Genomic DNA, 7651 nt, shown 5'->3' on the forward strand with positions numbered 1-7651 from the left:
CCGCTTGAAAACCACTTCTGGCCCCGTGGGGGACTCAAGTCGCCAAGCGAGGGTTCCCCTGAGCGCCGGAGCTCACAGGTCTCGCCTTGTCCCGAAAGCCCCGCAATCGAGGCGGAGGCGACCGAGCCCCCGACTCTCCTAGAACGTTGCCACAAGAAGGGGGAACGTCGGAACAGTGCATCATCGGGCGGCGGCCGGGGCGGCGGCAGGAGGGCGGGCGGGGGGCAGGGCTCCGGGGGACTGGGCGGGCCATGGCGGAGGACGGCGAGGAGGCGGAGTTCCACTTCGCGGCGCTCTATATAAGTGGGCAGTGGCCGCGACTGCGCGCAGACACTGACCTTCAGCGCCTCGGCTCCAGCGCCATGGCGCCCTCCAGGAAGTTCTTCGTTGGGGGAAACTGGAAGATGAACGGGCGGAAGCAGAGTCTGGGGGAGCTCATCGGCACTCTGAACGCGGCCAAGGTGCCGGCCGACACCGGTAAGCCCTCGCCGAGGAGGGGTCTGGCCGGGCCGGGGCCGGGGCCGGGGCAGGAGTGGCAGCGCCCTCTCCCGAGGCCCCGAGGCCCCGAGGCCGGTATCCGCGCGGACCTGATGCAGGGCTGTGGGACGAGGGCCGCTGGGGTCCGGGCAGGGGCCTCGCAGCCGCAGCCCCGTCGGTGCGTCGAGGGGGCAGGGCGGAGCACATGATGCCCCTTGGACTATGGGGCAGGTAAGGACGTTTTGGGTCTCCTGGAGGAAGGTGGCCCCGGGGCGCGCACTGGGGCTGTGCCCGCCAGGCGACGGGGTTAGGAGCGGAGCCCGAGGCTCTGCGGGAGACCGGGGGAGGCTGGGCCGCGTGGGCTTCCCGCTCCCTGCGCCCTGGCCTCCCGCGCCGTGCGCCGCCGCACGTAGCCCCAGACTCCTCCCCTTCCTCGCCGGCGTCCGCGTCCCCGCGCCGAGCTGCTCGGGCTCCCTGAGCCCCAGATCTGACCCCTTCCCTTCGGCAACCTGAACGACTCCCGCCTTCCACGGAAGGGACCGAGCCCGTGCCAAACAGGCTGAGCGATTTGGGAGTGAGGAGCCATCCTACCGCTTTCCCCAACCTGGAAACAGCAAAGCGCAAGGCCTCTGAGTCAGTTAGGTCTCTGCCACCCACGGGCAAAGGATGCTCTCCTCCATCCTCCTTCCTCCCTCCACCGAAATCGGAGAGCCGCGGGCCTGATCCAAAGAGGCATCCCCTTCTCGTTCATTCCCCAGAGGCCTCAATACAAACCCCAGGAGTTGGCCCCTCTCCTTTTGCTACAAATCCTTGCCTTGCAAAGGGGAGGTGAGGATGGGCTATTTTAGAAGGGAAGCAGGGTTGCTCCCTGGAGAATGCTGAGTCTGTGAGGTGCCTATGCCGAGAATAGCTCGAGGAAATTGGAGCCCCAGCTGTTAAAAGAGCAGAGGGCAGGGTGAGGGCCGTGGCCTCTCAGGGGTATCTGGAAGGCTCTTCGAGTTGAGTGCAGACCCAGCCTGGGCTGGAAAATGGACAAAGGTCATCTTGCTGGGGTGAAAAGGGGGAGAGCAGAACCAAGAAGAAGAGGGTGAGGGCTGGGGGGCTCCAGGGCACTGGTTAGGAATTGTGGGGAATGAAGGCTTTCTTTAGTCTCATCCCCCTGTGGTACCATCTTGTCCTCAGAGGTGGTTTGTGCTCCCCCTACTGCCTATATCGACTTCGCCCGGCAGAAGCTAGATCCCAAGATTGCTGTGGCTGCGCAGAACTGCTACAAAGTGACTAATGGGGCTTTTACTGGGGAGATCAGGTGAGATCGAGGTGGAGAGGGGTGTGTGGGACCCTTCCCTCACTTTCCTCGTTGAGGGGAAAGCCACAGGGTGGGCTCCCTGCTGAACCTTGGCTTCATCTCTTCCTTTAGCCCTGGCATGATCAAAGACTGCGGAGCCACGTGGGTGGTCCTGGGGCACTCAGAGAGAAGGCATGTCTTTGGGGAGTCAGATGAGGTTAGTAGCCAAGAGAGAAGATAAGGGATGTCTTTTTCCAAGAAGGATGTCTCACCAAGTCTGTTTCTCAACAGCTGATTGGGCAGAAAGTGGCCCATGCTCTGGCAGAGGGACTCGGAGTAATCGCCTGCATTGGGGAGAAGCTAGATGAAAGGGAAGCTGGCATCACTGAGAAGGTTGTTTTCGAGCAGACAAAGGTCATCGCAGGTATCTCTGGAGAAAGGGACCTTTGAGCCTATCCAGGGCCACAGAGACTCAGAGGGTAGGGTCAGGCCCTGGAGCCTGTCTTGGTCCCCATGCTGATCCAGAAAAGGAAAAAGGGGAGGGGGAGTGACAATCTTTGCTTGGGGCCTATGACTTCTCCAGCCCCAAGGTAGATGCCACCTGGAAATCCCCCAATGTCCACTAGGGGGCAGTAGGCCACCGTTCTTCGTACTCCGGAGAACCTGGCTGGAGAGCTCTTTCTTGTTCACCCTTCCCTCCATCTGTATCTCTGCCCTGCAGATAACGTGAAGGACTGGAGCAAGGTCGTCCTGGCCTATGAGCCTGTGTGGGCCATTGGTACTGGCAAGACTGCAACACCCCAACAGGTAACCGGGCCCAGGAGCCCTGCCCTCATCCCAGCCTGCCTCAATAGGTTTGGACAGACACAGCCCACATGGGGCAACCCCTTATTTCAAAGACACAGAGACCTTGAACCCAGAGACAGTGACTTGTCCAAGGGCATCCAGTCCAGGGCCTGGCTTGGATCAGAGCCCTGGTACTCTGACTCAGTCAGAAACCACACTAAGTGTCCACTGGTGCCAGTGATTTTTCCTCTTAGAGAGGCAGAAAAGGTCTTACTTAGGCCAGCTTCTTGTTCTAGGCCCAGGAAGTACACGAGAAGCTCCGAGGATGGCTGAAGTCCAACGTCTCTGATGCGGTGGCTCAGAGCACCCGTATCATTTATGGAGGTGAGTGGCTTTGGTTCCCGGCTGAGGTGGAGTGGGCTGAGGACTAGACTGAGCCCTCGGACATGGAGGTGGGGATGGGGCAGACTCATCCCATTCTTGACCAAGCCCTTGTTCTGCTCCCTTCCCAGGCTCTGTGACTGGGGCAACCTGCAAGGAGCTGGCCAGCCAGCCTGATGTGGATGGCTTCCTTGTGGGTGGTGCTTCCCTCAAGCCCGAATTCGTGGACATCATCAATGCCAAACAATGAGCCCCATCCATCTTCCCTACCCTTCCTGCCAAGCCAGGGACTAAGCAGCCCAGAAGCCCAGTAACTGCCCTTTCCCTGCATATGCTTCTGATGGTGTCATCTGCTCCTTCCTGTGGCCTCATCCAAACTGTATCTTCCTTTACTGTTTATATCTTCACCCTGTAATGGTTGGGACCAGGCCAATCCCTTCTCCACTTACTATAATGGTTGGAACTAAACGTCACCAAGGTGGCTTCTCCTTGGCTGAGAGATGGAAGGCGTGGTGGGATTTGCTCCTGGGTTCCCTAGGCCCTAGTGAGGGCAGAAGAGAAACCATCCTCTCCCTTCTTACACCGTGAGGCCAAGATCCCCTCAGAAGGCAGGAGTGCTGCCCTCTCCCATGGTGCCCGTGCCTCTGTGCTGTGTATGTGAACCACCCATGTGAGGGAATAAACCTGGCACTAGGTCTTGTGGTTTGTCTGCCTTCACTGGACTTGCCCAGATAATCTTCCTTTTTGAGGCAGCTATATAAATGATCATTTGTGCAAGAAAAAAAAAAAAACAAGAACAGGTTTCTATAACAACATCTCTTACTATTTTTACTTGAAAAAATGTTTTGCGTAGCAGACTGTCATAGCCTTGAACGCCGGCTCCCTTTCTTCCTCCCTCCAAGTGGCTCTGGGGCTGTTGATTTCCGCAGAGCTTGGGTTGGGGTAGGGGCTCAGCCTCACCAGCTTTCAGCAGCTGGTCTAGGCCAGCAGTGCCTCCCCACCTCCCCAAGGGGAGGGGTGGTGGCAAGACCTCAGCACAGTCTGTGGTATCACAGGGCTCACTGGTAGAGCAGGTAGCGCTTCATGGCAGGGGGCAAGGGCAGGGCAGACACCTGGCCGAGCCGGGTATCCCCCAGGTTGTGGCGCACACACAGGCGGCTCAGGTGCAGAAGGGAGTGTGGCTCCGCTGGGAGAGAGAAGGAGGGGAATGTAAGTATGGGTGCAGCCACCAGCCAGATGTCCTCAAACTACGGGGTCCTACTCAGATGCCTTTCTGCTTTCCTGCTTCGAGTGTGCCCACCTGGCTGAAAGGGGAATTTGAGATACCCGGAAGTTCTGCCTCCCAGATAAGATTTCACACATCCCTAGTCAGAGCTGGGGGTGAAGAGCTGGCTAAGGCCCTCTAAACAACAGGCCAAGGTGGCTCTGACAGTGGTGGAGCTGGCCCAGGCTTTGACTCCAGAGGCTTGGGAGCTGGGGCTGAGGTGAGGAGGGATGGCCCTCCACTCTACAGCCCACACAACTGCAGAGAGCAGCTCCAAGCCCTGGACCCAGTCAGTTCCTGGGGAGGCTCCTCCCCTGCTGCCCCACCCTAAGGCCCTGCCTCCTCCACTGCTCTCCTCCCTGGTGCCCAGGGCCCCAGTGTCTCCATCCAGAGGTGTGGCTGAGGAAGGAAGTAGGTATGTGGCACAGAGACAGGTTAGAGCCCAGGGAATCCGGTATACAGCCTGGGTACCTGGCTCTGCCCATCCTTCTTTTGGACCTGTACATCAAACCCAGTACCTAACGCTTTGCACCTCTTGCTCAGGGGTTGATATCTCCTGAATTCTCTCATCCCTGCAGTTCCTCCCTCCATTCTGAAGGTTCACCATTTACTGGCCAAGAGAACTTGAGAAAGTTGCTTTCTCAAGCCTGTTTCACCTCTATTGCTGTTGGGTTAAATTAAATAACAGCTGTGAAGACCCCTAGCCTTTCCCAGCACTGAACAGAGGTTGAGGCAGGCTGGATGAAGGTCCATCCCCTCTGCTCTTGTCAGAAGAGTTTCCATCCCAAACCACTGCCACCAGGGACAGAAAGTTCTCCCCACGTCTGCCCCAGGCCTCACCTCTCCTTTCGCCCAGGTAGCGGATGCGGACCTGGCACTGGCCCCAGACAGCGCTTACTGCCGGATAGAGGGTCCTGCCCTTCAGTCCGCGGAATGCTGGCCCCAGGTAGGTGCCCCCAATAGCGTAGCCCAGAGTTCCCTCCTCCATGTCCAGAACCACCAGCAGTCTCTCTGGCACCTCCAGCTGCTCACCCTGAGTTCCCGCTGGATACTGGGGGGCTCCGGGCCCCTTGCTCTGATGGTACAGCTTCCCCCGCCCGATGTCCCAGCCCCACGACTCGCTGTTGCTGCCCAGCAGCGCCGCGTAGTGGTCAGTCTGCAGCGGGGCGAGGGCCGTGGCCACGCCCACCACGGCATGCGTGCCCCTCTGCTCTAGGGGCCAGCTGATCTCCCAGGCGTGCAGGCCCCTTGAATAGCCCCTCTTACCCCGGGCCCCATCAGTGCTCTGGGCCACGGGCCGCCGCTCAAAGTACAACCCTCCTTCCTTGACCTCGATGTTCTCTGAACAGTCTTTGGGGTTCCAACCGTGGCGCCGCTGGGCCCCCAGGTCAGGAGGGGGTGCAGACAGCAGCTCTTCCAAGCCCTCGGGACAGGAGAGGTCAGGGTACAGGGCCTGTGGCGTGGGGGTGCTGCTGCTGCCCCCTGCCAGAGCTGTCTGGCCCATGGAGGTGAGGAGCTAGAGGACTCCCCGAAAGAGGCTTGCTGGGGCGTCTTTCTCTTCTGAAAGTTGAGCTCCAGTTTGGATTGACCTGGAAGGGAGCTGGGAGAAAAGGGGCGTGAAGAGCAGAATCCTGGCGGGGGCTCGTCACCCAGGTACCCCATCCTTTCACCCAAGTTTGCCAACGGGCCCGCTCCTCCCTCCTCGCTGCCCCAAAGCTCCTGGGCCCTTCATCTGCCCTCGCCCCATCTGATCCAGGTCGCCAGAGACTCTCGCGAGTTCGCCCCATTTGGGCCTCAGCATGGACCATCCCCCTTACTCGCCCGGAGCCCTCGCCGCTGCCCCCGAACCTCGGTTGACTTCCCAGCCCTGGAGGTCGCCGGGCCTCTGAAGGAGCCGGGCGGAAAGAAGCCGAGGCGCGCAGGGCGCAGACCGCCGGCCGCTTCCGCCCCCAGCTCCTCCCTTGGGCCGAGCCCGTCCCGCGGCCCCGCCCCTCCAGGGCCCTCTGGGGCTTAACCCTCTCATCGCCGCCCACGGCCGTGCAGCTCCGAGGCCACGCCCCTGTGGGGCCCCGCCCCCTCCTGGGCAGTTACCGCTCTATACCGGCAGCAGCCGCGGAGAGCATGCCCCGCCCCCGTGGAGCCCACCCCGGGCGGTTAACCTCGGGTCTCAGTCCCGGGCTGTGACCCTCCCCGAGGCCCCGCCCCCACGGCGAAGGCCCGGGGCAGTTAACCCTTCTCTTGCTGCGGCAGAGTCCGCACCCGGGCAGGCCCATCTCAGAATTAACGCTTTGATGGCATCACCGCGTCGGGAATCCCTGGGGATGGTGTTCTCCACCGTCAAGACCTTTGAGCCGCCTGAGCGACTAACTCCTGCGCCCCTGAGGGTAAGGAGCATGGGGTCAAGGAGGGGCTTCATTGTGCCGAATCCCATTTCTACTTCCCTGTGATTCTGGGTCACTGTTTCTGGGCTGGTCCCTTTCTGCCCCGGGTTGTGAGTCAGCCTGTGCCACCTCTGAGGCTGTGAAATCTGCTTCAGGCTCTAGGCTGTACGCATCATAGTTCTCCCTGCTGGTCCAGTCTTCATACTGGATGCCAATCCATTACTGAGCCGTTGATCTCATTTGGTAGAGTGTCCTGATTAAGACTTCGAGTTTGAGTGAAGCTATGCCACTAGTTAACTGCGCGATCTTGGGGAAGTTGCCCGATTTCTCTTTTTTTTTTTTTTGAGACAGGGTCTTGCTGTCACCAAGGCTAGAGTGCAGTGGCGCCATCACAGCCCACTGCAGCCTTGACCTCCTGGGCTCAAGTGATCCTCCTACCTCAGCCTCCCAAGTAGCTGGGACTACAGGCATGTGCTACCACACCCAGCTAATTTTTAAAAAAATATTTTTATTTTTATTTTTATTTTTTTCGAGACAGAGTCTTGCTCTTGTTGCCCAGGCTGGAGTGCAGCGGCACGATCTCGGCTCTCTGTAACCTCCATCTCCCAGGTTCAGGGGATTCTCCTGCCTCAGCCTCCTGAGTAGCTGGGATTACAGGCACCTGCCACCACGCCTAGCTATTTTTTGTATTTTTAGTAGACACAGGGTTTTGCCATGTTGGCCAGGCTGGTCTAGAACTCCTGACCTTGTGATCTGCCTGCCTTAGCCTCCCAAAGTGCTGAGATTACAGGTGTGAGCCACCACGTCCGGCCAAAAAAAAATTTTTTTTAGAGACAGGGTCTCCCAAAGTGCTGGGATTTCAGGCATGAGCCACTACGCCCAGCCCCAGATTTCTGTAGTTTTCTGTTATGTAAAATAGGAGCAATGATGGTAGTTACCTCACAGGGTTGTTGTGCAGTTGAAATAATCCAGGTAAAGCATGTAGCACAGAGCTGGGTACATAGTAGTCACTCACCAAGCATAGCTGTCAATGTGCTTAATGAGTGCCGACACTATAAGGAGGCAATATAATATAAT

General features: G+C 58.8%; 2 protein-coding genes across 6 annotated transcripts, besides 6 other annotated features; one reads left to right on the top strand and one right to left on the bottom strand.

Moving 5' to 3' along the window:
• Positions 174–223: a silencer, noted in NCBI's record as "silent region_4187". NCBI's record gives its function as "represses an Ori minimal core promoter by ATAC-STARR-seq in GM12878 lymphoblastoid cells {active_cell/tissue: GM12878}" and the evidence as "EXISTENCE:reporter gene assay evidence [ECO:0000049][PMID:35858748]".
• TPI1 (triosephosphate isomerase 1) lies at positions 216–3744 on the top strand. Of its 3 annotated transcripts, none has more exons than NM_001159287.1 (7): positions 216–477; positions 1660–1783; positions 1895–1979; positions 2054–2186; positions 2484–2569; positions 2845–2932; positions 3061–3742. In NM_001159287.1, the coding sequence occupies exons 1-7, from the start codon at positions 252–254 to the stop codon at positions 3177–3179; spliced, it is 861 nt and encodes a 286-aa protein (NP_001152759.1). In that variant the 5' UTR covers positions 216–251; the 3' UTR covers positions 3180–3742. The 3 variants fall into 3 exon arrangements, with proteins under 3 accessions (NP_001152759.1, NP_000356.1, NP_001244955.1); NM_000365.6 differs by having other exon boundaries at positions 327–477; positions 3061–3744; NM_001258026.2 differs by lacking the exon at positions 216–477 and adding an exon at positions 901–1305 and having other exon boundaries at positions 3061–3744.
• Positions 494–933: a silencer, noted in NCBI's record as "silent region_4188". NCBI's record gives its function as "represses an Ori minimal core promoter by ATAC-STARR-seq in GM12878 lymphoblastoid cells {active_cell/tissue: GM12878}" and the evidence as "EXISTENCE:reporter gene assay evidence [ECO:0000049][PMID:35858748]".
• Positions 3517–4102: an enhancer, noted in NCBI's record as "H3K4me1 hESC enhancer chr12:6979885-6980470 (GRCh37/hg19 assembly coordinates)". NCBI's record gives its function as "activates a minimal SCP1, AML or CMV promoter by ChIP-STARR-seq in primed H9 embryonic stem cells {active_cell/tissue: H9 hESC(primed)}" and the evidence as "EXISTENCE:reporter gene assay evidence [ECO:0000049][PMID:30033119]".
• On the bottom strand, positions 3731–6099 carry SPSB2 (splA/ryanodine receptor domain and SOCS box containing 2). 3 transcript variants are annotated; one of them, NM_032641.4, is made up of 3 exons: positions 6042–6099; positions 5034–5793; positions 3731–4115 (listed from the first exon to the last, which is right to left on the bottom strand). In NM_032641.4, exons 2-3 carry the CDS (start codon positions 5695–5697, stop codon positions 3988–3990), a joined length of 792 nt encoding a protein of 263 aa, NP_116030.1. In that variant the 5' UTR covers positions 5698–5793; positions 6042–6099; the 3' UTR covers positions 3731–3987. The 3 variants fall into 3 exon arrangements, with proteins under 3 accessions (NP_116030.1, NP_001139788.1, NP_001306599.1); NM_001146316.2 differs by having other exon boundaries at positions 5034–5782; positions 6011–6099; NM_001319670.2 differs by having other exon boundaries at positions 5034–6099.
• Positions 4759–4878: a silencer, noted in NCBI's record as "silent region_4189". NCBI's record gives its function as "represses an Ori minimal core promoter by ATAC-STARR-seq in GM12878 lymphoblastoid cells {active_cell/tissue: GM12878}" and the evidence as "EXISTENCE:reporter gene assay evidence [ECO:0000049][PMID:35858748]".
• Positions 5429–5668: an enhancer, noted in NCBI's record as "active region_5888". NCBI's record gives its function as "activates an Ori minimal core promoter by ATAC-STARR-seq in GM12878 lymphoblastoid cells {active_cell/tissue: GM12878}" and the evidence as "EXISTENCE:reporter gene assay evidence [ECO:0000049][PMID:35858748]".
• Positions 6059–6508: a silencer, noted in NCBI's record as "silent region_4190". NCBI's record gives its function as "represses an Ori minimal core promoter by ATAC-STARR-seq in GM12878 lymphoblastoid cells {active_cell/tissue: GM12878}" and the evidence as "EXISTENCE:reporter gene assay evidence [ECO:0000049][PMID:35858748]".

Source organism: Homo sapiens, chromosome 12 (genome assembly GCF_000001405.40).
Source record: "Homo sapiens chromosome 12, GRCh38.p14 Primary Assembly".
Taxonomy (NCBI): domain Eukaryota; kingdom Metazoa; phylum Chordata; class Mammalia; order Primates; family Hominidae; genus Homo; species Homo sapiens.

What these genes read in the sequence shown, in the direction of transcription:
- TPI1 (NM_001159287.1), top strand. Translation starts at nt 252, where the DNA reads ATGGCGGAGGACGGCGAGGAGGCGGAGTTCCACTTCGCGGCGCTCTAT. An exon ending in GCTTTTACTGGGGAGATCAG is followed by an intron (nt 1,784 to 1,894) that starts GTGAGATCGAGG and finishes CTCTTCCTTTAG; the next exon opens with CCCTGGCATGATCAAAGACT. An exon ending in GCAGACAAAGGTCATCGCAG is followed by an intron (nt 2,187 to 2,483) that starts GTATCTCTGGAG and finishes TCTGCCCTGCAG; the next exon opens with ATAACGTGAAGGACTGGAGC.
- SPSB2 (NM_032641.4), bottom strand. Translation starts at nt 5,697, where the DNA reads ATGGGCCAGACAGCTCTGGCAGGGGGCAGCAGCAGCACCCCCACGCCA. An exon ending in CTACCTGGGCGAAAGGAGAG is followed by an intron (nt 4,116 to 5,033) that starts GTGAGGCCTGGG and finishes TCTCTCTCCCAG; the next exon opens with CGGAGCCACACTCCCTTCTG.